Source organism: Homo sapiens, chromosome 20 (assembly GCF_000001405.40).
Source record: "Homo sapiens chromosome 20, GRCh38.p14 Primary Assembly".
NCBI lineage: Eukaryota > Metazoa > Chordata > Mammalia > Primates > Hominidae > Homo > Homo sapiens.
This window is the reverse complement of record NC_000020.11, coordinates 48209319-48236684: the sequence shown is the minus strand read 5'-3', so window position 1 is coordinate 48236684 and position 27366 is coordinate 48209319. Positions and strand designations below refer to the sequence as shown.

The 27366-nt window shown below is 51.2% G+C and overlaps 2 annotated features.

Annotated features, from left to right (window-relative positions):
- Window positions 8116-8245: a silencer, noted in NCBI's record as "fragment chr20:46857183-46857312 (GRCh37/hg19 assembly coordinates)". NCBI's record gives its function as "represses an EF-1alpha promoter that drives an FKBP-Casp9 reporter gene in an ReSE screen in phorbol 12-myristate 13-acetate-treated (for megakaryocytic differentiation) K562 erythroleukemia cells {active_cell/tissue: K562(+PMA)}" and the evidence as "EXISTENCE:reporter gene assay evidence [ECO:0000049][PMID:32094911]".
- Window positions 22541-23365: an enhancer, noted in NCBI's record as "NANOG-H3K4me1 hESC enhancer chr20:46842063-46842887 (GRCh37/hg19 assembly coordinates)". NCBI's record gives its function as "activates a minimal SCP1, AML or CMV promoter by ChIP-STARR-seq in naive H9 embryonic stem cells {active_cell/tissue: H9 hESC(naive)}" and the evidence as "EXISTENCE:reporter gene assay evidence [ECO:0000049][PMID:30033119]".

The following is a 27366-nucleotide window of genomic DNA, read 5'->3' as shown; positions in this document are numbered from 1 at the left end:
CATCTTCCAGGTTCTCACCTCCCATCAGAGCTCTCTGTCTACATTAGGGCTGGGGCTGTGGGAGGAGATGAGATCATATATTTTTTTGTGTTAAAGATGTTGATGTATAAAGCTTGGTAGTCACAGTGTTTTTAATAAATCAGGTTAATGTTCCAGGGGGAAGCTTACCACTTGCTATTTATGCACAAATGCCTCTATCACTTAAGAAGCTTGTTAAAATGGTAGTTTAAGAGTAAATTAACAAAGCGCTTCACAGCTGGTGTGTTTGGGCAGGGTGAGCACACCTAACAAGGACATACACACAGAGGGGAGCCGACGGCAAGAACACCCAACAGCTAATTGCCTCCAAAATTAGTAGGATGGAAAAGCAAATGCTTCAAGACCCTGGTTCTGAGCAGATTAAAAATAAGAAACAGTTCTGCAGGCTGTTTGCTTTTTGCCAATGCAGCATTTGGGGCTGCTGACTGCAGGTGAATTATTCACCAGGTGGCAGCTTCCCCTGCATTTCTGAAGAGAGGTCTGACAGGTTGAGTGGAGAGCCAGCTTTCATCCTTTTTACTACTGAGACAATTTTTGAAGAAGGAGTGAGGCTGGGTTCTCATTTCCTCTCCTTTGTCTTTCTTCCTCATTGTAAACAGTGTCCTTGCTATGTCCCGGATTCATGCCTGCAACAAGTATTTCTGAGCATTCACCGTAGGCTAGTATCTTAGTCCGCCTGTGCAGCTAGGACAGCATACCACAGACTGGGTAATTTATAAACAATAGAAATGTATTTCTCACAGTTCTGGAGGCTGAGAAGTCCAAGGTCAAGGCACTGCAGCGCTGGTGTCTGCTCAAGGCATCTCTCTGCTTCCAAGATGGTGCCTTGTTGCCGTCTGGCTGGCCCAGAGAGTAGGAACACTGTGTCCTCAATGAAAGACACGAGAATGCCCCCTTCAATTGCGAGCCCTTTTATAAGGGTGCTTATTCCATTCATGAGCGGGGAGCCCTCATGACTTAATCTCCTCCCAAAAGCCACACTGCTTATATTGTTGCAATGGGGACTAAGTCTCAATGTGAATTTTGGAGGGGATGCCACCGTTCAAACCATAGCAGCAGCCAGGGCAAAATGGTGAGACCCTGTCTCTACAAAGCATTTAAAAACTAGTCAGATGTGGTGACTCATACCTGTAGTCCAAGCTACTCGGGAGGCTGAGTGGGGAGGATTACTTGAGCTCTAGGGGTTGAGGTTGCAGTGAGCCATGATTGCACTACTGCACTCCAGCCTGGGTGACAGATTGAGACCCTGTCTCAAAAAAAAAAAAAAAAAAAAAAAAAAAAAAAAAAAAAAAAGGCAGCTAGACATAGCTCTAGGTATTGGGGAGATCGTGGATGAACAAATCGAGGCACTTTTTTGTTTTTGTTTTTGAGGCAAGGCCTCACTCTGTTGCCCAGCTTACCACAAGCTCTTGGGCTCAAGCGATCCTCCCACCTCAGCCTCTGAAGTAGCTGAGACTACAGGCACATGCCACCATGTGTAGGTAATCTTTTAACAAGATTTTTGTAGAGATAAGCCCTTAATATATTGCCTAGGCTGGTCCTGATTTCCTGGCCTCAAGCAATCCTCCTGCCTCAGCCCCGAAAGTGTTGGGATTATAGGCATGAGCCACCATGTCCAGCCGAGGTTCACTTTTATAAATGATACTTAGTACGTAGTTATGAAAAGGAATGCACTATTGACATACAATTGTATGGATTAATTTTACAACAGTATGTTGGGCAAAAGAAGCTAGACACAAGAGTGCATGCTATACATTCTTTTGATACAACATCTAGAACTAGCGATGTTAATTTACGGTAAAGGCAATCAGAAAACAGGCAGCTGCTGGGGATTGGTGTGTGGGGTTGACAAGATGGGATGCAAGGGAGGTTTTGAAATGAGGGCAATGTCCTATATTGTGATAAGAGTTTGCATGATAGGGGTTTGTGCATTTGTCAAAACAGATCTAAATGCATATTCAAAAGCTATACATTTTGCCATCTCTAGATTACAAGTCAAGTAAAGCATTTCTTAGGCAAATAAAATCATCCAATTCTGAGGTCCTTTGGGTAAAATGGTATATTCGTCTCAGGGTGTAAATGTGAGCAGTGGCAATAAACAGCTGCACCTTTTGAGAGTTGGAGGCTCGGAGGCCTGGAGAGGGAAGAACCTTGTTAACAGTGGGGGGAAAGCACCCTTGACCTGAGCTTCCCAAGGACACAGATATGACTGGCTTGTCTCTGTCCCCCAGGGTGCCTTGCCTGGCCTATGTAAATGTTGTTGAGTGGATGGATGGGGCCTGGGGGGCTCGAGGGTAGCTTGAGCGAATTCACAGGAGACCTGAGGGCAGGCTTTAGGCAGTGGAAGGATTTCCCTGCAGTTAGAGGCATGAATGCCAAGGTTCTTCACTCAGAGTCCGCTATTCTGCTCACAACAACCATTACAGTCTGCTCAATCATGAAAATGAGAGATATCATTATAGAGGGTGCACAGGTGCAGACATTAGCCTGTGGTACTTACACATGAGACAAGAGAGTTCATGCAAAGTATGTAGCAAGGGGCTGGCCCCTAGGAGGCCCTCAATCAATAACCACCAAGTTCTTGGCTATGGAAGTGGAGTTTGGGATTTGATACAGTTTTGTTCTGGGTCCCTACCCAAATCTCATGTCAACTTGTAAATCCCAGTGTTGGAGGAGAACCTGGTGGGAGGTGATTGAATAATGGGGTGATTTCTAATGGTTTAACACCCGCCTAGTGCTGTCTGGTGATAGAGTTCTCATGAGATCTGGTTTCTTGAAAGTGTGTAGCACTTCCCCCTTCCATCTCTCTCTTTTCCTCATGCTCCAGCAATGCAGGACGTGCTCCCTTCCTCCTCACTTCTCACCATGACTATAAGTTTCCTGAGGTCTCCCATCCATGCTTCATGTACAGCCTATGGAAATGTGAGTTGATTAAACCTCTTTTCTTTACAAATTATCCAGTCTCAGGTATGTCTTTATAGCAGCGTAAGAATGGACTAATACTGGATTCAAACCCAGTTCTGACTTCAAAGCCCACATGCTCAACTACCACTGACCCCCACTGACTCCCGAATGTTTATTCAGAGGCTGCTTCTCACCTAGCACCAATCACTCCCCAACGCCTAGAACTGTCCAGAAGATGCAGGAGAGAGGATGCAGCAGCCAGGACTACCTGGCAAACTCTAGCAAGCAGCAACTTGTTCTGGTGTCCAGGGACACCATTAACTGGCTCACTGGGATCCAGCAAAGCTTCCCTTTGAACAGAAGCCTTTGATCATCCAGTAAGAGCAGTCTCAGTCTGTGCCCTAGGACTTGGCTTTCTTCCTTTCTGACTTACCTTGTCTAGACTATACCCTCCAAGCCCCAAATATCCTTTACATGTGATAAAAACACAAACAGGAGGCTAACATATTTTCAGATAATCATAAGTGATACAATGAAATGTGTATCAGGCTGACGGGGACAGAAAGGAAGTGGGAGGAAGTGGTTTATCTTAGAGTAAATGCTCAGGGAAGGCTTCTCTGAGGAGATGACATTTGAAAAGAGACCTGTATGAATTGAGGGTGTTATTGATAGTGTGTATTAGTCTGTTCTCTCATGGCTAATACATACCTGAGACTGGGTCATTTATAAAGGAAAGAGGTTTAATGGACTCACAGTTCCACGTGGCTGGGAGACCCCACAATCACTGCAAGAAGGCAAAAGAAGAGCAAAGTCACGTCTTAGACAGCAGCAGGCAAGAAAGCGTGTGCAGGGGACCTCCCCTTTATAAAACGATCAGATCTCGTGAGACTTATTCACCATCATAAGAATAGCATGGGAAAGACCCACCCCCATGATTCAGTTACCTTCTGCCAGGTCCCTCCCACGACACATGGGAATTATGGGAGCCATAATTCAAGATGAGATTTGGGTGGGGACACAATCAAACCATTTCACAGTGGTAGCTGGGAGAAGACTGCTCCAGGCGGAGGGAATGGCAAGAGGCAAAGTCTGTTTGCTGGATTGAGCTTGGTGTGTTTGAAAATGAGAAAGGGGCCATGTGGCTGGACTGAGCTGGGGAGGGCTAGATCCTGCAGAACCTTGTAGACCAGGGTGAGGACCCTGAACTTGACCTTGAAGTCCATGAGGTGTCATTAAAGAGCTTTTAGTGAGGAGGTGACATGGGCTGATGTCCAAATTAGAAATCTGCCCCCTCTCTTTATCTGGGAGAGGGAGAGGTAGAGGGGGATGGGGGTGGTTTTGACCAGATGTGGGCATGGAGCTCCCAATACCAGCTACAGTTAGCTCTCTTAACTGAGCCCCGCTGTGGGTGAGGCATTCTTCCAAGTCACCATCACAAATTACACCGTTTGATCCTCAATCAACCCCCTGAAGCAGGTCCTATTATTATCTTCATTTTACATAAGAGAGAAGGGAGTAATTTGCCCAAGGTCTCTTAGTGAGTAAGTGTCACTGGGAAGATTAACCAAAATCACCCTGCTGTCTTCTCCTCCAAGGAACCACAGCCGGCTGACATCCAAGTACTGAGTAATTCAACATTCAGGACCTTGGCGTGACTTTCCCTGTAATTCAACATGCAGGACCACTGTGTGACTTTCCTGATAATTCAACATGCAGGACCTTGGCGTGACTTTCCCTGTAATTCAACATGCAGGACCCTGGAGTGACTTTCCCTATAATTCAACATGCAGGACCCCTGTGTGACTTTCCCTGTAATTCAACATGCAGAACCCTGGTGTGACTTTCCCTGTAATTCAACATGCAGGACACTGGTGTGACTTTCCCTGTAATTCAACATGCAGGACCCTGGGGTGGCTTTCCCAGTCCCAAGTGCCACAAAAGAGCTGGAGCTGGTTGCTTAGCAACCTACTTGCTCTTGGTGAATCATGGGGGCAGAAGGCAGTGCAAAGTCATTGGTGGCCCCAGTCATCACATGATCAAGATATGACCAATCAGGTCATCCTCTTCCCTTGACTACAGTGATTGGCTCAGGGTTGCACAGGGGACTCGAACTGGTGCAGATGGAGTCAACCCCAGGACATTGGCGTGAGTGTTGGGAAAGATGTGTCCTCCTTCTGCTTGGGTGACCGCAATGGGAGGCCTTCCCTGCCACCTCCAGGAAAACATCAGGCCGGAGTGAAGCTCACAGAGAGGCAAGGTGAGCCCAGAGTTGGGGTGGGAGAGTCCTGCCAAAACTCTCAGAGTACCAGGATGGAGTGGAGCTTTATGTGAGGTAATATGAGTTCTCTTTTTCTGTTAAGCCATTTCAGTGAGTTTTCTGTCATTTCTACCCAAGTGTCATGGCAGGTAGTGCTCTTACCTGGGGTGGCTTCCCAAGCAGGCTCCCTGAGTGATGCCACTCTGCCCATCCAAGCTCTAGGCTTGCTTCACTCTCACAGAGCCAGCGGATCTAGGGAAAGAGTGCCTCTCTTTCCCCCTCATTCCAGTGGAGGCACCCAGCATGTTTGCATTGGACCAACCTGGGCACATGCCTGTGTCTGAGCAGTCATCATGCCTGGAGGTGGCCAGGTCTGGACACCTGTCAACCCCAGGTGTGTGTGGGCAGCCCTACAGAAGCACGTGGGGAGAGTGTTAGCCAAGAAGACTGGGCTATGGGGAAGCAAGAGGTGACCTGGGAGGTGCAGCCCACAGGCAACCTGGGAGAGCCCTGGAAAAAGAGAACCTCCTAAAGGAAGACCTGGGGAGGGTGCAAGGGTGGTCAGGACTCAGTAGATGAGGCAAGAAGTGAGCCCTTCCTCTCTAAGTGCCAGTGGCCACACACAAAGTCCTGTTCCTCTTTGACCACCCCGCTACACTGGGGAGAAAGGCCTCTCCACCTAGCTGGGAAGAGGTAAGATGGACCCCAGGAAGAGCCCTGTTGTGGGAAATAGGAGGCCTGGCCTCTTGTCCCCAGCCATGAGCTGCTTTGGATGCATCACCACTCTACCTCTCTGTGCCTGAGTTTCCTCATCTGCAAAATGGGAGCAGTCAGCCCCTCTGTGGACCTCGGCCTCCCGTTCTATCCAATGAGAGGGCAGAATCTGGCTACTCCCTAAAGTCTTTGGGACATCCAGACAAGCCTGGCAGGGGGACCATTCTGAAATCCACAACAGCAATTCTGAGTGAGTGGAAGCCTCAGGAAGTCTCTCGCCTCCATGTTGGAAAAAAGTAATTAGCTGTGCAAACAGCCTGATGATGGGGCTGTGTTTGGGTGTCTGCCACCCCGAGCAGGAAGGGAGATTCTCAGCTGGAAACTGCTAATGTGATGACATGGTGGTTTATTAGCGTATCTCACTAACAAGCTGTGCAGTTTGCAGACACACAGTGGAAGAGTAAAGATGAGAAGGAGGCGGGCCAGGGGAGGGAAGCACTGCCGCTCAGCTCTAGGGAAGCTTCAGTAGAGTGAGGGTTATACAGTAAGCCTCTCCTCTCCTACCCCACAGTGGCCTGGGACACAGTGAGTTTGGGAGGTGCTGGTGCTCGCCTGCCTCCCCAAAAGGCCAGGCATTCTCTCTCTGTTTCTCCAGAATTAAACCTCCAACTGGGAAGATTTATGGGCACAGCAAACAGCATGTCCCCAACTGAGCTCCGATATTCCCCACTCTGAACCTGCTCCCCTGCAAGCATCCCCATCTGAGTTGACGGCAAGTGTCCAAGATGTTGGACAAAAAGGGTCTTAACCAAGACTGTAAGGATAAGTTGAGAGCTAAGATGGTGATAAGTGGAAAACATTATCTGCAAGATCTGATTAAAACAATCTGGCAAAGCAGGGACTCAGAGAACCAGAACAAGGTGGGTGGGGAGGCCTGAAGTACAGTGTGGAGGAGGGGCTGGGGATATGGTTTGGCTCTGTGTCCCCACCCAAATCTCACATGTCATGGGAGGGACCCAGTGGGAGGTAACTGAATCATGGGGATGTGTCTTTTCCATGCTGTTTTAGTGACAGTGAATACGTCTCACGAGATCTGATGGTTTTGTAAAGGGGAGTTCCCCTGCACATGCCCTCTTGCCTGCTGCCATGTAAGATGTGACTTTGTTCCTCATTTGCCTTCCGCCATGATTGTCAGGCCTCCCCAGCCATGTGAAACTGTGAGTCCATTAAACCTCTTTCCTTTATAAATTACCCAGTCTCGGGTGTGTCTTTATTAGCAGCGTGAGAACACACCGATACAGCTGGGATCTCAGACATGGTGGGGTGGGGATGGGGAGCATCACTCTAGACCAGGCAGCCCATTTTCCAGAAAGGTCTGGGAAGAAGAGACCTGACCTGGCCTTGGGGTGCAGAAGTGGTGGCCACTGGTGGACACAGAGCTGCTCACTGCAAATCCTGTCATTTGATTCATCTTCCTGAAAAGACTACGACCTTGTGCAGGTAACAGATCATAGTAGACACTGTGGTGTCCCTGTGGGCCCATCAGGTGAGGGATGGGGATTTAAGCTGCTTAAAGGACTGGTCCTCATCCCCAAGACAACATTCCCTGCTTCTCTAGAAAAACGAGGGTGAAGGGTGCAAATTCAGGCCCCCCTGGAAGTCTTATGTGCCACCAATATGGCTGGGCTGGAGGCCCCTGCAGGAGGCCACGCTGTGAGCTTTTTCTGTGTTTTTCTTCCTGTCTCTCCCAGGATGTTGCGTTAAAGTCATTCCTCACCTCCTGCATTTCCACCTCTGCCTCTGTGGGTCGCGAGCCACTTCACTTCCATTCTCCTGTCTGCAAAATAGGTTGAAGTCTGCCAAGCAGGCTGGGAAAAGCATCATGGTGTCTCAGGATGGGGCCCCCAGTCCCCAGTGCTCCAGAAGAAGTCAATGTTATTATTCTGGGGCAGTCATATCCTGATCATTAATTTATGATAATGTTAGAAACAACAACAATTATAATAATGACTGGTTTTTATGGAGTTGTTCTTACTACTCTAGCAGGAATAATCAATTTATTATGTCATTAAACACCCTAATAGCTATTTGAGGCAGATTCTATTTACCAGCATTTTTTATCTTAAAAATGAAGTAACAGACACAGAGAAGTGGAATAACTTTCCCCATGTCCTCCAGTTAGAAACTAATCCAGGAGTCTGTCTTCTACACTGACTCCTTCTGCGCCAGGCTGTGCTTCCACCGATGTGTCCTCAGTGCCAGGTGGGCATGGCCCATGGCTAGACTTGAAGGATACAGCCATGGTCCCTGACCTCAGGGAGGATGCAGTTTTTAACATCCAGGCTTTAACACTCCACAGACCACCCGATTAGCACATAGCACCCATATTGAGATGATCCGTTGACAGGCTTGTCTGCCTGGACCGGGCACCCCTCAAGGGAGAGGACCCTGCTTCATCACCCCCGTATAGCCCACTGTCTGGCAAGAATATTAATGTTTCATCTTTCCTGGGACTTTATTCTGGAGTTATATTTTGCTATGCTTGGTTCTGTTTGATTGTTCCAACATCAGGACCGTATGGATTTGCTTACAGTGGCTCTGAAATCACTTAAGACCAGTGGTCCCGCCCCTAGTTGATTCCATCTTGTTTTTTTTTTGGCTGTTCTTTTTTTTTTTTTGAGATGGAGTTTCTGCTTTTGTTGCCCGTGCTGGAGTGCTTGGCAACTCGGCCCACTGTAACCTCTGCCTCCTGGGTTCAAGCGATTCTCCCGCCTCAGCCTCCTGAGTAGCTGGGATTACAGGCGTATGCCACCACACCTCACTAATTTTTGTATTTTTAGTAGAGACGGGGTTTCGACATGTTGGCCAAGCTGGTCTCGAACTCCTGACCTCAGGTGATCTGCCCACCTCCACCTCCCAAAGTGCTGGGATTACAGGCGTGAGCCACCGCACCTGGTCTCCTTGGCTGTTCTTAAACATGGGCTCTTGCGTAAGAATTTGAAGATAATTTTAACCTGGAGTCGGTCTGTGTAAATTTAAACCCTGCCTCTACCTCTCACAACGTGGGCCAGTCACTCACCCCCTTGTGTCTCAGTTTCCTCATCTGTAAGTGGTGGGTGGGAACAATGACAGGTGAATGGAGCTTCAAAGAAGTTGAGTGATGTCAGGTATGCTAAGGCAGTTGCAACAGTGCCCAGAGTGTGGTAATCGCTCAATCAATGGTAGCTTTTCTTTTCTTTTCTTTTCTTTTTTGAGATGGAATCTCACTCTGTCACCCAGGCTGGAGTGCAGTGGCACGATTTCAGCTCACTGCAACTTCTGCCTCCAGGGTTCAAGCGATGCTCCTGACTCAGCCTCCTAAGTAGCTGGGACTACAGGCACATGCCACCATGCCAGGCTAATTTTTGTATTTTTAGTAGAGACAGGGTTTCACCATGTTGGCCAGGCTGGTCTTGAACTCCTGACCTCCAGTGATCCACCCACCTTGGCCTCCCAAAGTGCTGGGATTACAGGCATGAGCCACTGTGCCCGGCCTCAATAAATGGTAGCTATTTAATTATCATTATTATTGAAATGTATGTGAAATAGGGAGTCTTCAGTCCTGCTTGCTCAAATCTCTTTGGAGCTGTTGAGCTTCATGCCTTGTGGCTATCTATTCTTGGGGTGAGAAGGTGCTTAAGCAGGAGATGGAGGCAGGAAACAGGGCAGGAGACTGTAGACCCTTGTTCTTTCTTGTGCAGTTGGCCATGAGGAGTTGACCCAGACAGTGAACAGTGAAGGAGAATTAATTCTCTTTCCCCAAGAGCCTGGCATCAGGCAGGCCTTGGTGAATATCTAGTTGGTGGCATTTCACCAGCCTTGGAGATTGTGCAGGTCTGGAAAAGTAAATGCCGCAGGGAATGGTATGCGACAGGAAAATAAAGCATGTCAACATTAGAAGCCTCATTCAATCCCTGTGCACACACTGTGGTTGGTCATACAATATCTGTACCCTACTCACATACAGACATTTCGAACACAACCCAGGACCCCACCAGCCCATTATACCCTCCACACGCACACATTTGCACACCAGTACACACATACTCTCAGCTAAAATATCTGAGCCCCCAGGGCCTGCCGTTGACCCCAGCACCACCACCTTCCTGCCCTGGGGAAGCCCTGCTCAGGCGTAATTTGGTCTCATTCCAGCTCTCAGACCTGGATTTGAGGCCGACTGCTGCTCTCACTTCTGGCCCTGCAGGTGTGGTGATGTCCCCAGCATAATGCCCAGGCCTGGGGATGGCCCTGGCTTCTCACCCCACCACCCACACTGCCTCAGCCACCTATCTCTTGCCGATGTCCAGACAGCCTGCAGGGACAGGGGAGGCCCTGCCATGCTTTCTTGAAATAGAAAGTAGTGCAGCTGGGTTTGAGTCCTGGGTGGGTGAGTGAGAGCCTCTCAGAGCCTCAATTTCCTCCCCGCATCATGGGGGCATTGATGGGACAGCACCGTCTCCCAGTCACTCCAATCATCAACCCGTTAAGTTTCACTTGACACCTTCTGGAGACCCAGCCCAGTGGCTGCCAGGTGGGTTCTGGGCACTTGCACCCTGGGTGACCATGGACAAGGGGGTGCCCCTCCCTGGGGCACAGTCTCCCCATCTTTACAACTCGAGACCTGATCAGGTAAGGGCCCTTCCAGCACAAATGTTCCATGAGTCTCTGAGTCCACAAAGAGCATCCGAGAAAGTTCCTCAGAGTGATGGTGTTGGGACTGGATGAGGGGAGCCTGTCCTTCATGAGCTCAGCCAGGAGTAGCCACCTTCCTCTGACTGGGGCTTCTGATAAGGCCCAGATCTGAAAGACACTGTGATTGGGCCAAGAGGGAGGGGATGAAGGAGTTGGCCATGTCTGAGAACAGGAGGGGTGTGTGTGCAGGTGGGGACATATACGTACGGGCACAGATCTGTGGGTGGGTGGGTGGGGATGCTGATGCACGAGTACTATGCACAGGCACAGTACACTGTTTGGGGGCCTAACCTATTCGTACACATGTGAATGTTCATCTCCGTGTGTGGTGCCTGGGCCAGGTATCCACGCAGGTGCATGCATGTGGGTGCCCACGTGTGCATATGTGGAAGCGTGTGGACATGCACTGGGGCTGTGTGCTTGGGGCTCATATTTGTCTCATGCCTGTTGCTTGCCAGCCATTCTTCTAAGCACTTTCCGTGCATTAACTCACGCAACCCCCATGACGGCTTTATCTGAGATTATTTCTTAGGTTGGAGGAAACTGAGGCTCACAAGGGTTAAACCACGTGACCCAAATCACAGGTTCAGAAGTGGTGAAGCTGGGGGTTGGACCCAGGCTGTCTGGTCTCGGAATGAGTGATGTGGCCTGTGTCTGTGGGGTCTGTGTAGAGAGTGGGGCATTTGCATTCAGCTGTTTCAGGGGGTGTGCGCCTGTGGGTGAGATGGCGGGAAAGGCTCTGCGTGTGTACGTATGTGGTGGAGTGTACGTGTGTGCAGGTACAGGCATGTGTTGTAGACAGGCTTTGCACACACATGTGGGTTTGTGCTCACATGTGTATGTCTACCAGTGTCCCTGTGGCTGTGTGCTTGGGCATGCACACAGGCACATTGGTGGGGATGTGTGAATTTGCACCCCAGCATGATAGAGGGGAACCTCGGGGCCCTGGCAGAGAACAGAGGGAAGCTGAGCCCTCCTGGCAGGGTCCCTCCCACTCTCCCCCACTTCCTCCTCCCCCAGCACCACCCCCCATGCCACTGCAGTCCTCTCAGTCTAGTCGGGGAGGAGGAGGGCAGCCTGCTCAGTGAGTTGCATTCCACGCTGCACATTTGTGTTTTCCAAACTGGGGGATGGAGCACTAATGGGTGTCAGCCGCCCTTGGAGAATGAGGGGTGTGGAGAGAAGGGCCTCCTGGGCTGCTCCTTATTACACAGATTGCTTTTGGGGAATACATATGAGGCTGATCTTATTGAGACAAGGGGTATGGCCCCGAGACAGGCCTCACCCATGACTCAGTGCCTCCTGGGAACTTCTCAGGGTGTTACAGATGGAAGATTGGATATGCCCTGCCCTGGAGCTGGGCGTGAAGCCCTGGGCTGAAAGCTTTTCCTGGCCAGTTTGAGCTCCATGACCCTGGTGAAGTATCTCCCACCTCTCAGATTCAGTTTCCTGCTCTGGGAGAAGGAGCCACGGCAGCATCCATGATTTCTGTCTGGATGTGTCCTTCCCGCCCACCTTTGACCTTCCCTTATGGACTTGGTCAGCCTCATGCTGAGCCGTGGTGTGGACCGGGTGGGGCTGACCCAGCACTGGGCTGGGGGGATGTGTGACCCCAGGGAGACCATACAGAACGCTCCATCCTACTGGACTCTGATTGGAAGTGGGAGGGACATTGTTTCCTGTGGCCACTATGACAAATTACCACAAACGGTGCAGCCCACAACAAAGAAATTCACATCTCACAGCCCTAAGGTGGGAAACCTGAAGTCAGGGTGGCCACGGCTCTCTCTGGAGGCTCAGGGGGTGGGGACTTTGCCCCACTTTGCCTCTCTGTTCTTTGCCTTTTCCAGCTTCAGGTGGCTGCGGGCATTCCTTGGCTTGTGGCCACAATGCTCCAGTCTCTGCTACTGTGGCCACATTGCCTCCTCCTCTGTCTTCTCCTCTTCCCTCTAATAAGGACCCATGACAGTATTTAGGGTCCACTCGAAATAATCCAGAATCATGTCCTCGTCTCAAGATCCTTAGCTTAGCCACATCTTTGCCCTACGTGGGCACCGCAGGTTCCAGGTATTTGACGTGGACACCTTTCGTGGGGGCCGTTCTGTGGCCTGTCACAGACATGTGACCACAATGGGCCAATGGGAGCATGCCCTGGGGCTTTGCTGACTCTGGGAAAGAGACGTTCTCTGTGCTCCGGGACTGCTGAGCTGGGGGATGGAAGCCAAGAGCTGCCGGCGGTCGTCATGGTCCCCTGTGGAGACTACCTACTTGGGAGTGAAGCCAACACAGAGGACAGCGGAGCCCAGAAGTGGAGACAGACTGCGTCGTGGCCAGATTGTTGGAGCCCTGGAGCCAGCTGGGTCAGAAGCCCAATACGCCTGACTTCATTACATGGGCTGGGAGGTTTTCTTGTTTCACTTAAGTCTGTTTGAATTGAGTTTTTGCAAGAATCCTAACAGAGCTCAGAGTTTTCCCTTGGGTCACCTAAAAGGTGGGACCAGGCTGATCCACAGAAGAGAAGGCTGCTTTATGAAGGCTCTGTCCTCTGCATCTGGGGACCAGGGACTGCTAAGCATCTTGTCCAGGAGGAGCGGAGCTGTGCCACTTCCCTGCCTCCAGCATGGCTCTGGGTTCAGGGTACCACGAGGAGCCTCAGCACCCAGCTCACAACATCCATCTCTTTCCATGGATCACACAGGTCCCACCCAATTGGCTGAGCTATCCACAGTCAGGTGGCTCTAGACAAGGAGCACGGAACTCCCTGATGACACCTGAGGGACATGAGGGAGGAGACGAGTATACAGGAAATGGGTCACCTTTAAACAGAGAGATTGCCTGCTTTTGATCAGTATCTAGTTAGTTCACCACTTGTAGGGGCCATTTGCTACCTTTGCCTACCCGGGATACAAACCCTTTATGGTCTGCTTCCTGATTAAATCCAGGATCCAACTGCTTCTCATTACCATTGCCACCACCCAAGTCCAGAGCCATGTCCCCTGTCTCCTGGACAATTGCAGTCCCCTCCTCACTGACCTCCTGCTTCCACCCTCCCCATGACAAACTAATCTCATACAGCAATCTGAGCAATTCGATTAGAACACGGATCATGTCTCTTTTCTTCTCAGAACCCCCAGGGGCTTTTCATGGCAGATAAAGCAGAAGTCAAATTCCTTCTAATGGCCCACAAGGGCCTGCAGGATCTGCCCCGTCACACTGGCTTGGGCCAACTCATCTTCGGCCCCAGGACCTTTGCACCTGCTTTTCTTCTGGGATTTCTATTTTCTGAAACATCCACAGGACTTATCTCCTTCAAGTTTTGCTCAAATGTCACCTTGTCTGTGAGGCCTCCCAGGCCACCCCATCTGACACTGCATGCCCTGTCCTCCCGTCCTGCTTTACGTTTCTCCACAACACTGCTGTCGTGAATATTATATAACTAATAAGTTCATTGATTATTTTTGTCTATACCCCTGCTGTGTTTTGGATATCCCTGTCAAAACTCATGTTGAAATTTAATTGCCAGCTGGGTGCAGTGGCTCATGCCTGTGATTCCAGCACTTTGGGAGGCCAAGGTGGGAGGAGCTCCAGGTGGGAGCCCAGGAGTTCCAGACCAACCTAGGCAATATAGTGAGACCCTGTCTCTTTTAAAAAGTTAAAAAATTGGCCGAGCATGATGGCACACACCTGTGGGTCCCTGATACTTGGGACCCTGAGGTGGGAGGATTGCTTGAGCCTAGGAGGTCAAAGTTACAGTGAGTAGAGATTGTGCCACTGCACTCCAGCCTGGGCAACAGAGTGAGACCTTGTCTCAAAAAAAAAAAAAAAAAAGAAATTTAATTGTTATTCTGATAGTATTAAGAGGTGAGACCCTTAAGAAGTGACTAGGTCATGAGGGATTTGCCCTCACAAATGGATTGATGCTGTTATCACAGAAAGGCTGAGTTACTGCCAGAGTCCAGCCCCTTTTTCTCTCTGTCTCATGCGTGTGCTTCCTCACCGTATGATGCCTTCCACCATGTTCTGATGCAGCAGGTAGGCCCCTCACCAGAGGCAGCCCCTCAGTCTTGGACTTCCCAGCCTCCAGAGTGGTGATCTGTGAGCCAAATACATCTCTTTTCTTTTTTCTTTTTTTTCTTCTTGAGACAGGGTCTTGCTCTGTTGCCCAGGCTGGAGTGCAGTGGCATGATCTCGGCTCACTGCAGCCTCAACCTCCTAGGCTCAGGCAATCCTCCCATCTCAGCCTTCCGAGTAGCTCGGACTACAGGCACATGCCACCACACCCAGCTAATTTTTTTTTTTTTTTTTTTTTTTTTGTAGAGAAAGGGTTTTTCCATGTTGCCCAGGTTGGTCTCAAAGTTCTGAGCTCAAGTGATCCACCTGTGTCCGCTCCACAACATGCTGGAACTACAGGTATGAGCTACTGTGCCTGGCCTCTTTTCTATTAAATCACCCAATCTGTAGTATTCTGTAATAACAGCAGAAAACAGATGAAGACAATCCCCAAACGAGGCTCTAAGCTCTTTCTTCACTGCACATAGTAAGCATTTTCTAAACAGGCAATGAATGAATGAGCTCTGCCTCCTGGGCACAGCACCTTGATTGTCCTTTGGGAAACCTCCATCCTCCACTCTTGGTTCATGTGCTGTAGGTGGGTGGGCCCCACACCCAGCTCCATGCAAGGGACAAGATCCAGGTCTGTGAACTGGCATATTCAGAATCACCAGGTACAGACTTATGTCCTGGCACAGGCTGCTTCTCCTGAAAGGAAGGGGCATCCCTTTCTTACTCGTACCAAGTCACCTGAGGGAGTGGCCCTGGCTGTGAGCAAATCCTGCCACCTTGACCCCAGTGTTTAGATCAGAGATGGACACATGGCAAGTCGCGTCCAATCAGGTGAATCCTGCGAAGTCCTCAGGGGCCGCCAGGAAGAGAAGGTCTTTCCCTGGGGCTGCTGAGCTGGTAGGTGGAATCTCTCCACAAGCAAAGGAAGAGGAGACAGCAGCCCTGGAGGGGTGGGAGAAAGTGTCTGGGTCCCTAGATCAAGCTCTACCTGACACTGGACTAACCCTCAAAGCTTTTCAGTTCTTTGAGTCCATTATTCCTTTTCCTTTTTTTTTTTTTTTTTTTTTTTTTGAGATGGAGTCTCACTCTGTAACCCAGGCTGGAGTGCAATGACATGATCTTGGCTCATTGCAGCCCCCACCCCTAGGTTCAAGCGATTCTCCTGCCTTGGCCTCCCGAGTAGCTGGGATTACAGCTGCACACCACCATGCCAAGCTAATTTTTGTATTTTTGGTAGAGACAGGGTTTTGCCACATTGACCAAGCTGGTCTTGAACTCCTAACCTCAAGTGATCCACCCTCCTCGGCCTCCCAAAGCTATCTATTCCCTTTTTGCTTAAGTCTGTTGGGGTTGGATTTTCTGTCCTTGCAACTTTAGGACCCCATCTGACTCAGGGTTCAGGAAATGCTACCCTACAGGACAGCCAGGAGCAAATGTGCTTTACTATGTTTAAACACTTGAGGTCCATGAAGGGCTGCTGGGGCTGCTGTGGGCTCTGACCTCATCACCTCCTTCCTTCGTCCAGGGCTGCTCCCTACAGGAGTCTGTTCCCCTCAGCGCAGCCTCTGCCTCTCCTCGAAGTGGGTTTCAACACTCACAGCTCCTTCCCTCTCACTTGAGTGATTTTCTCCTTTCCCATTTTTCATCTTGAAAAATGGCAAATTGAAGCACTTAATTTTCCTCCTCCAGCCCAATTAATGTGGACATGCTCAGTGCTGATGGGCGTGCTTGTGAAAGGAAAGTCATTTATATAAATCAGCAGAATAAACATGAGCTTTATGGCCCTCTGCAAACTCCAGGTGGAAGCTTCCTCAGAGAAGGAGAAGGGAGACCCCACGGGAAGGCCCAGGGGCAAATACCCCATTGGATGCATCTGGGAAGTCTGGAGTTTAGGGGCCATTAGGACTGTGTCGTGGTGGCATTTTGGAGAGGGCACAGGTCCAACCACCTCTCCTTCCTGTGAGGTCGCTCAGTGAATATGTCCCAGGAACAAGAGAATTACCAGACATGGCTATACCTCAGTGTCAGCAGGGGCTCTGTTCCTAAGCCTTAACGTAGAGTCCATCCAGCCAAGCAGGAATGCCGAGCCTATCTCCAAAGTGTGCCTGAGCCCCCCAGATGCCTCACTGGACAGAGCCCCTCATCCATCTTGGCCTCCTGGATAGTCACAGCAGCTTCATCCGTGGTCTCTGCTGTCCAATCAGGCTTCCCTCCATCCATGCTCATCCCGGCAGCTGAAATGAGCGTTTAAAAATGTAAATCAAATCATGTGATCCTCCTGCTCGGAAATTCTCAATGGCTCCCTATTGCCCTTGGAAGAAAATCCAAGCTCCCTTTCATGGCTTCCAATATCTTGCATAACCTGGCCCCTGGCAGCCTCTCAGACTCTCCCCTGGCTCCCTCAACCACAGGGGCCTCCTTGCTGTTCTTCCAGCTCCCCTTGCTCACTCCTGCCCCGAGACCTAGGCACTCGCTGTTTCCCACATCTTCTTCTGGTGGCTGTGTCTCATCCTTCATGTCTCAGCTCCAACAGCTCCCCTGCACCCAATCCTGGTACCTGTCCTCAGCTGCTGTTTATCTCTTTTAGACCCTTTCAAACCTAAATATGTAGCCAGCACCCACGGTAGACCAGCCCCAGCTCCGTGTGCTCAGTGTCCAGAGTGAGCAGGACACACAATAACCCCTGTCTTCCCAGCCCGGTCCTGGGAACTCTGCAGACAGATGAGATGCAGAAGACCTCCATTGCCTGAATGAACTTCCAGGTTCTGAGGACCCAGTTTATCCCAATGAGGGGCTTACAGAATGAGGCGTGGGTCGATCATGTAGAGAAACGATGCTCACAGAAATTAGGTGAAACATAGAGACGTGAGGCCTGGAGCCGTTAGCAAATGCCATTAGCGTTGGGTCCTCAGCAAGCCTGGGCCTCGTTGACACACCATGCCCATGAGTGTATGTTGGACAGAGGCAGGCCCTTAGGTGGGCACCAAGAACATGCTGAGGAAAGGTTTTTGCTGTTGGTGTTTGATTTTTTTTTTTTTTTTTGAGACAGAGTTTCACTGTTGTCACCCAGGCGGGAGTACAATGGCACGATCTCAGCCCACTGCAACCTCCGCCTCCTGGGTTCAAGCAATTCTCCTGCCTCAGCCTCCCAGGTAGCTGGGATTCAGGCACGTGCCACCACTCCCAGCTAATTTTTGTATTTTTAGTAGAGACGGGGTTTCACCATGTTGGCCAGGCTGGTCTCGAACTCCTGACCTCAGGTGATCCGCCCGCCTCGGCCTCTCGAAGTGCTGGAATTACAGGCGTGAGCCACCACACCTGGCAGGTGTTTGATTTTTGTTTTAACTGATATGAAAGGGATTCTAGGAAGGGAGAATACAGGGAGGACTGGAAAATAAAAATCCCTGCCCTCTTGAGCTGACATTGTATTTGAGGAAGAGACAGACAGCCATTGAGATACATAAGCAGATGTCAGATGGTCACAAGTGCTAAGAGAAAAATAAAGTACAAAATGTGGGGGTGAGGCTGCCATTAGAAATGAGGTAGTCAGGGTGAGCTTCACAGAGGAGGAGACACTTAAGCCAAGAACTGGGGGAGCTGACAGCAGGATGCCTGGGGAAGGAACTTCCAGGCAGAGGAAAGAACAAGGCCAGGACTGCACAGTGGGCGAGCCAGTGTCTGGTGTGGCAGAGGAAGGGCGAGGAGGCCACAGTGGCTGAGAGGGCGAGGGGGCAAGGGGAAGGAGCTGGGGTTGTAGAAAGTGGTGGGCAAATCTCACTGGGCCTTGGGGTCCTCTGTAAGGACTTTGGCTTTTGTTCTGAGTGAGGTGGGAGTCCTGGAGTGCTCTGAGCAGGGGAGGGCACGGTCGGCCTCAGGTCTTCAAGGAGTCCTCTGTTAGTAAGTGAAGAATGGCCTGGGGAAAGTGAAGGCGGAATCAGGCAGAGCGGTTTGGGGGCTGCCCCAGCAGGCCAGGCAAAATGCCATCTGCAGCGGGGAGAGGAGCAGAAGAGGGCCAGGTTTCTTGATCTGGATCCTAAATAATTCTTGGGAATGAGAAAGTAGGGGAGAGGGAGAGGTAGAGAGAGGCTTGGACCCTTCCTTGGGTTTGAAGAGTTATCATGGAATCCTGATGTGCAGGGACTTGACAGTGATATGTATTTGCTCATGCGTTCACTCCAGAATTCATTCATTCGTTCACTCATTCATTCCGTCCTTCCTTCATTCCAGACCCGTGAGAGGCTTTGAATTCAGGTGGACCTGGGTTCAATTCATGCCCCCACCACTTCCTACTTGGGTGTCTCTGGGCAGTTACTTTAACCTCTCTGGGCCTCAGTCTCCATATCTGTAAAATAGCGCACATAACGGCACTTGCACTGACGGTAGGGTTGCTGTGAGGTCTAATGACAGTGCATGAGCAAACCGGCAATTCACTGGCATTCGCTTGTCCTTCCTCCCTCACTCCCTCCTCCCATCGTTTCCTCCTGCCTCCTGTCTTTATCTCACCTGATTAGACTATATTTCATCTGTGTCTTTTTTCTAGCGTTTCACGCCCCGATGCCTGGAATCTTGCTTGGCACAGAGTGGGAGCTCAATGAATACGTACTGAATGGATGACCTCACTGGAGTCCTGAGCAGACGGAAAGCGCCACATCAGGAGGTGGGAGGTAAATTATAAATTTCGAAACACAGATCAAAGTGGGGCGGGGGTGCCACAGACGTGTCTACAGGGAACCGGATCACGCAGCAGAAAGCAACACATCCACAGAGCTAAATTCTGAGGCCCAGCAGATAAGCATTAATGAAATGTTTAGTGTCTTTTCCAGCTTATGTGCAAGTTTTAAGTCAAATTTATGGCCCAGAGAGAGTTGTATTTTTAATCTGCTCTATGTAACTTTGTATTATATTGGAGCCTATTGTGTAATCAATACACACTTTTTTTTTTTTTTTTTTTTTTTTTTTTTTGAGACGGAGTCGCTCTTTCGCCCAGGTTGGAGTGCAGTGGCGCTATCTCGGCTCACTGCAAGCTCCGCCTCCCGGGTTCACGCCATTCTCTTGCCTCAGCCTCCCGAGTAGCTGGGACTACAGGCGCCCACCATCACGCCCGGCTAATTTTTTTGTATTTTTAGTAGAGACGGGGTTTCACCGTGTTAGCCAGGATGGTCTCGATCTCCTGACCTCGTGATCCACCCGCCTCGGCCTCCCAAAGTGCTGGGATTATAGGCGTGAGCCACCGTGCCCGGCCTCAATACACACTTTTAAAAAACGTGTCTAGGAGCATATTTTTATGATGTTAGCTGTTTATGACGATCTACCAAGCCACCCTTGCCTGGGAGTTTGGCAGAGCCTGGGGCTTTGGGGATGCTTTTGGGGGAAGGGGGTATTTGTGTAAACGAGTGACGATGAAAGCTTCTGATTTAATGAGAAGTCACTCGGTCCTGAGTCCACTGTTCACATGATTCACATGTGTGATTTCACCGCAGCCCCAGACAATCCTGGGATGATTCCATTTTACAGATGAGGAAACCCGGACAGCAGAGGGGCTCGTGTTCCTCCCAAGGTTGCTCAGCTCTGAAGATCAAACCTCCCCTTGACCCCAGCTGTGTGCACACCCACAGCCCCAAAGCCCAGGCTTTGCACCAGCTTTTGGCACAGTCGAAATAGATAAATTATCCCCAAACAGCCTCCTAAGCTCTAGAAAGAGAAGCTAAGCCAGTGTGAATAAACCTTGTAATATTTATTCTAGCACCTATGTTAATTTTGTGTCATATCTGTGGTTCTAGAGACTTATAGTGTTAATGTATACATGCATATTTTTATACAAGAGACCCTTGATACAATTAATGTCTTATAAGACTTGGAGTATAATTTCATTACTTTTAAATATTTACAGAGGTTGAAAGTTGTAACTCTCCTTTTATGGCGTAGTGTGGGATACTATGGTCCTGTCTGTGATGTGTTTAACACTCCGTCCTCAGCTAAGAAGACACCAAGGACAGCTTTGGGGGACAAGCAGCTCTCTGAGGACCCCACAGGAGGCCCTGGGGAGGAGGGAGGAGCTCTGGCCAGAAATGAACCCCAGTGGGTGGGCGGGCAGAGCTGCCTCAGGAGCTGTGAGGAGACCCTTCCCTGTGACCCAGGAGCTCAGAGGAGACTCCTGGGAGAGGCAGGACTGGGCTGGGCCTGGAAGGGCAGGTAGGGCCTCGGGAAGGAGCAGCTGGGGGCGGGGCTTCCCCAGGGAAACCACGTGAAGTCATCCACTGGGACGATTGCCATCTGAATTTCCTTCCCTCTGAAGATGCTGTGGTCGACCTCCCCAAGCTCTAAGTCACTCAGGTCTCATTATGTTGTTTCCTCCATAAATCCTCCCCAGACACCCGGAGCAGAGAAACAAGGATAAAGCACAAATCCACAGAGGTCTGGCGATGCTCCTGCTGGGAGAGAGAGTCTAGGTAAATGTCTGGTTCGAATTCACAGGTGTCCACGGGGCAGTGAAGATGGGCACTGGCTCTGTGGTGGGCACCATTTGAAGCTCCTCCCAGGGAGCTGTATCACGTCATTGGACACAAGAATCCCACCATCAGGAAAGGATCCTAGGGTGGGCGTGTTCATGCACACAGGTGCGTGAGTGTGTACAGGTGGGACAGGGCTATGAATGTATGTGTGTGTTAAATGCACACTGTGTATTCACTGATTATTTTATTTAGCCAAACACTACTGAACATTTATTATGAGGCTGGGATTGTGTTCGACCCTTGAGATTCAGTAGTTAAAATGGAAGACGAAAGGCAGTGCTGAACACTAATCACCAAGAATGATCATTGCATGATGAGGATTGTGTGATGAAAATATAATGTGCTGCTTTAGGGATCCATGGGGGAAGCAGGAGCACACACTGTAGATGGGAGGGGTGAAGAGGTGTCCCTGACAAGGTGACACTGCAGGACACACATCAACCAAGACACCCCCTTGACATCTGCCTCCAGCTCAGTCCCCTCCTCGAAGCTCTGGGTTCTGAGTGACAGCCACCAGCTTGACATCTCCACTGAGATCCATTCTGCCCCAGGTCCATGTGGCCTGAGGGAAGCTCCTGTTTCTCTTGCACAACCTGCCCCTCCCTCCCCCAGACTTCCTCACGCAGCCCTTGGCTGCACTGTGTACTGAGTGCCGGAGGAGTGGGTTAAGGAGCAGTCCGGGCAATGGGAGTAGCCAGTGCAAAGGCCCTGGGGCAGGAAAGACGGTCCTGTAGTGGAGGATAGAAAGGAGGCCAGGGCACAGCCAGCCCCAGGCAACCCCCCAAAAAAGGAACCAGGTGAACTCCAACACCACCCCTGCTGACCTCCCAATGGGACTCCCCACTGGGGGGACACATCCAGAGCCAGAGGCAAGGGAGCCCTGTGGTGTGGGCCACCTGGTCAGTCTGCAGGTCACAGAGCAGGGGGAGGTTGGGGGAGGACCCAGAGGACAAAGGGCAGTCATGTGGCACAGGCTAGGGCCAAGGCCGGGGCGCTGGCACTCATTCTGAGTCAGGTGGGGAGCCGTGGGGGCAGCAGGCAGAGAGATTATGGCCCGACTTGCAGGTTTAAAGTGTTCTCAATGCCATGGGGACAGTAAACTGCAGAGGCCCCGGGTAGAGGCATCTGCGGTGACCCAGGGAGAAGTGACGGGGGCTCTGCCTAAGTGTGGACAGGGCAGGTGTGCAGAGGCGGCCTGCCTTGGGTCAGAGTGGAAAAGCCACACTGAGGGACTCCAGGTGGCTCTCAGGTCTGCCTTGAACAGCAGAGTGACGGTCCCGTCCCTGGACAGAAGCAGCCTGAACGTCTGAGCAAATGGCGGGATCCAGACCCTGCTGGACGCTGGGGGTGAGAGCTGGAATGGGACAAACAGACTCTCTCACCCTGGGCCGCCTCCCGAAAAGTCCACCTCGGGCCTCAGAAGGTGCAGACAGCGGGAATGAGCGAGGTGCCCGAGGGTGGCCCCGCGCCAGGGCACCGCTGTCCTCACATTTTCTTTCCCATCCATTAGGAGGAAATGCGCTGGGGCCACAGCCGGCTTCCTGTTGAGAAATCAATGGCTCATTAGAGTTCACCTTTGCCTCCCCTCTGCCCTCAGGCTATTAAAACTGGCCAGGACAGAGCAAGACTCAGCCTACCCAGGAAGGACAGCAGGCCCCGCCCCTCCTGCAAGGCCACCCCAGCCAGGGCAGCAGCTCTGTCCCCAAGACTCCCCAGCAGCCTTGCTGAGGGCCTGGCCCTGGCCCTGCAGAAAGGAGACCACGTCAGCCTGGAGTGGAGCAGGCGCAGCTGTCCGGTGTCCCCAGTTCAAATCCTGTCTCCACCACTCATGGGACCTGTGACACTGGGAGTCACTTCCCCTCCCTGGGGCGCAGCCTCCCCATCTGTAAAATGAGGCTTTACCATGAGAGTATCAGCGCTCCTCTTGCAACCAGAGGCTCCACTCTGGCTGGTTTGAGCAGAGAAAGGAATGGATTACAGGGTCACCAGGGGCTCTTGAACCTCTGGGAGGACAAAGAAGCAGATGAGGAGGCTATGCAGGCAGCAAGAAAGCATCTCTGGCAGGACTGATCCCTGGGGACCCAACACTGATGTTGTGGCCACAGATACCGCAGCCTGCACCCTGACACCCACCACAGGGTCGCAGTGCAAACTCCTCCCACTCTCAGTCCAAGTGGTTCAAGCCCCTTCTCTGCACAGGGATGTCATGTGACCTGGCTCTGGCCAGTAAGATCCATAACTCTATCTGAGCCAATGAGTGTCACCCCAGGGCTGTGCCAGACTCACTGGGAAAGAGCCCAGTTTCTGCTGAGGGTGCTAAGTTGGAGGATGGAAGCCTGGCTGCTGGGGACCCCCTTGCCACTACCTGAAGGGCCAGTCTGAGAACTCCACCGACACAGAGGGAAGCAGGGCTGAGAGACCAAGAGGAGGCACCCTTGTGACACTGTAAGAGCCCCTGGATGCAGCTGTGCCTGAAGCCATCTTGTGAATGTGGAACAGCAAACCAGACATTTTGTTTCTTTGTTCTTAGTTTTGTTCTAGTCCTTGATTTGGGTTCTTGCAACCAAAAGGCCAAGGAATAATTCAAGGAAACACCTGGCATGGCACAGGTCAGCATTAATTCCAACACTCAGGGGCCTAGGGCTGAGCAGTGGAGGTGAGGAGAGGACTGGAGAGGAGAGAGAGATGAGAGGAAAGGAGAGAAACGAGAGCCCCATGCCCTTCCTACTTGCATCCTCAAGGTGCTGGAGTGCCACCATCTGTGATTTGAGGAGCTGGGGCTGGGGTCCGGGCACTGCAGGGAGGGGCCCTCCATTCTCATCAGCTCCTTTCCCCTCCCGGAGGTGAGCAGACATCCTCCGAGGGGACCCAGGATCCTGATGTGGAGTGTGTCCAGGGGAGCTTATGAGAGTGCAGGGAAGGGACCCCAGACGTCTGCCTCCAACTGTTGCCCTGTTCTCTGTGCCAACAGCCCACCCAGGGCAGCAGCCTTGTGGAATCTTCTTCCCACTCACACCTGGAGGAAACGCCCCATGGAGATACGGGCAGAGCCTGGTATTTGGCACCAAACACACCTGAGTGCCTGATACCCTCTGTCTCTCACTGGCTGTGTGACCCCAGGCCGGTCACCTCACGCTCCCAGCCTCAGTTTTCTGGTCTGTGGAATGGGGGTAATGGTAATGCAGATCCCACAGAATTAAGGGAGTCAACCTGTATAAATGTGCCTGGTACACAGCAGGTGCTTGGAATGTGTGTCCTAATCCTTCCCTCCTGTCAGGAGGCCTGGTGGGTGCAGGAATGACACCTGAGTCCTCATCACCCTTGGTCAGTTAAATGAGGTGGCTCAGAGAGTGAAATGCAACTCCTGGCCTGTTTTCAGGACTCAATAACCATTCATCGTCATCATCATCATCATCACCACCATCACCATCATCACCATTGTGATTGTTATGGGTTGTGGAGGCGCACACCTGACATGCTGACTTGGGGAGATCTGGGCGCTGATCAGAAGCATGTTTACCTGAGGTGCTCATAGCCTGTGATGGTCAGGGAGGGCCTCTTGGAAGAGGAAGACCTGAAGTGGCATCCGAAGTTCGTGGGGGCTTAGGTGAGGTAGGGAGTGCTGAAGAACAATAGTGCTAACACACATGCAGCTGCTGCTTGTCGATGCGTTCACTGTGGGCAGCTGGGGTCTGGGCGCTCGAGGTGCCTGAGCTCACTCAGCCCCCACAGCCCCAGGAAGTTGGTGCAATTTTGATCATCCAGGTTACTGATGAGGTAACCGAGTGGCAGAGAGGTTAGTAACTTGCCCAAGGTCACTCAGAGATGAAATGGCAAAGTGGGGATTTGAGTCCAGGCAGCCATACTGCAGAGCCTACCCTCCTGACCCTACACTGTGCCGTCTCTATAACTTTATAAACAGTAACCATAATCCTAAGATTGTCTGACCTGTATTGCTCATCTACGTTCCAGGCACTTTATACTCATGATCTCATTTGTCCTTGTAACAGCTCTGCAACGTTGGGAGAGAGTGGGGTGACCTCAGCCTCAGTGTGGAGTCCCCAGTCTGGCAGGGACACAAACTCACAGGAGCAAGGCAGGGGGTGTGAGTGAGTGAAACAGGCCAGGAGTGGGGACAACAGGGAGGAGTGGGGATTGTGGCAAAGTGGGGAGCACAGGCCCTGTGTGGAGGGGCAGCTGCAGCTCAGCTCAGGGATTCCCTACCAAGGGCAAATGTCACCTGTGTTCCCACAACTTGTGATTACTCAAGAGAAATTGGAAATGCAGTTCTTTAAATGTAAAGTCTCCTTATTTAAACATTTTGACTACAGATTCCACTTTTCAGTACACTTGGGGGCCATTTCCGTGAATGAAATAAAACCCATCTGGGAGTGGTTCCGCCCATGCCAGCGCTCATGACCTCTGAACGGTGCACTGCACCCTCCAAGGAAGGCACCCGAGGCATCACAGTGAGGGCAAAGGTGGGAGACAAAGGAGTTTCCCCTCCTGCCTGAAATAGGGAGGACAGGTGGCCGCACAGATGGAAACGGGAAGGGACAGGGGCAGTCAGCCTCTGTTCCACACAGACCAGAGCTCCCAGGCGGCTGTCCGGGTTGTGGATCCCACAGTCCTTGTCTGGAGGGATCAGCTGTGGGAATTCTCAGGATGGGTGGTCCTGACCCCGGGCAAGTTCTAAGAATTGTGGGAACATACTTGGTCATCACTGACAAGCAGTGGGCGGGGCCGGGGTGCTGACATTGTGCCCTTGGTGCATGGGAAAGTCCTTCGCAACCAGGGCCAGTGTCGGGTCCAGCCGGGCTTTCATGTCCTGCCAGACATTCGAGGAGGTGAAACCCGTTCCTGAGGCTCTACACCTAGATTCTCGCTCAGTTGGGGTCTCAGTTTGGCCTCCCCAGAAGCAGACCCTGAGTCAGATTCAAGGGCAAGTCGTCTATTTGGGACATGACCCAGGAACCCTGGAGTGGGTGTGGGAAGGGAAGGCATCCCCATAGATACTGGGTGTGTCAACACGTCACCTCTGCAGGCATTGGGAGCTCAGACTGCTGGGGACTGGGGAAACAGTCCAGGACCTGCGCCCGGCAGTGTCCCCGTGAGCCACAAGGCTGCTGGCGCATTGCACACCCGCCTCCCTCCACGTGCAGTGAGGGCCGTACTCTGGGGGCGTCAGTGCCCTGGACTTCCAGCCACAGCTGCAGGGGAGAGAGGACATGCCCAGAATCAACCCGTGTCCTCGAAAGGAGGAGGGACATGGTGGACATTGTTGTGTCACCACAAAGGGTTTTCTTTTTATCCTCTCCGTGTGATTTTAAGATGCACTGAATTTTTTTTTTTTTTTTTTTTTTTTTGAGATGGAGTTTCACTCTTGTCACCCAGGCTAGAGTGCAATGGCGCGATCTCTACTCACTGCAACCTCCACCTCCTGGGTTCGATTCTCCTACCTCTGCCTCCCAAGTACTGGGATTACAAGCATGCGCCACCACGCCTGGCTAATTTTCGTACTTTTAGCAGAGGTGGGGTTTTGCCATGTTGGTCAGGCTGTCTCGAACTCCTGACCTCAGGTGATCCACCTACCTCGGCCTCCCAAAGTGCCAGGATTACAGGTGTGAGCCACCACACCCAGCCAAGATGTGCTGAATTTTTAAGGACGGCATCAACCTTTGACATTGAGGGAAGATTGTCCACCTTGCGGCACACCCACCGTCGTGTTCTTGTGTTGTGAGGTTACGGCACCAAGCGTGTCAGTCTGCCTTTGCACCCCCATGTTCACTGTCCTCTTGTGCTTAGGTGTGAACACCCCACGGCTTCATTTCAGCGTGGTCATGCTCACAGATGTACATATAGAAAACATTTTATCATATAATAAATAACATTTGATTCGAATTGCTGTCATTTCACTGTTTAGCATGTTTGGGCATTTACTGACCTTTATAAAATAACTTGTCTGGCTAGGTTACAGTATTTTATGACTCTTTTCTGAGCAGTGCAGGACCTGTTAACAAGCATTTCTATTTGAGGGCAGGCTGGGCTGGGAGTCTCTGTACTGGGAGTTTGAGCCCATGTGGCTGAGGATGGAGCTCAGGGCACTTTCTTCTCCAGCCCACGTGACTCCCCAGTGACACTGACAAG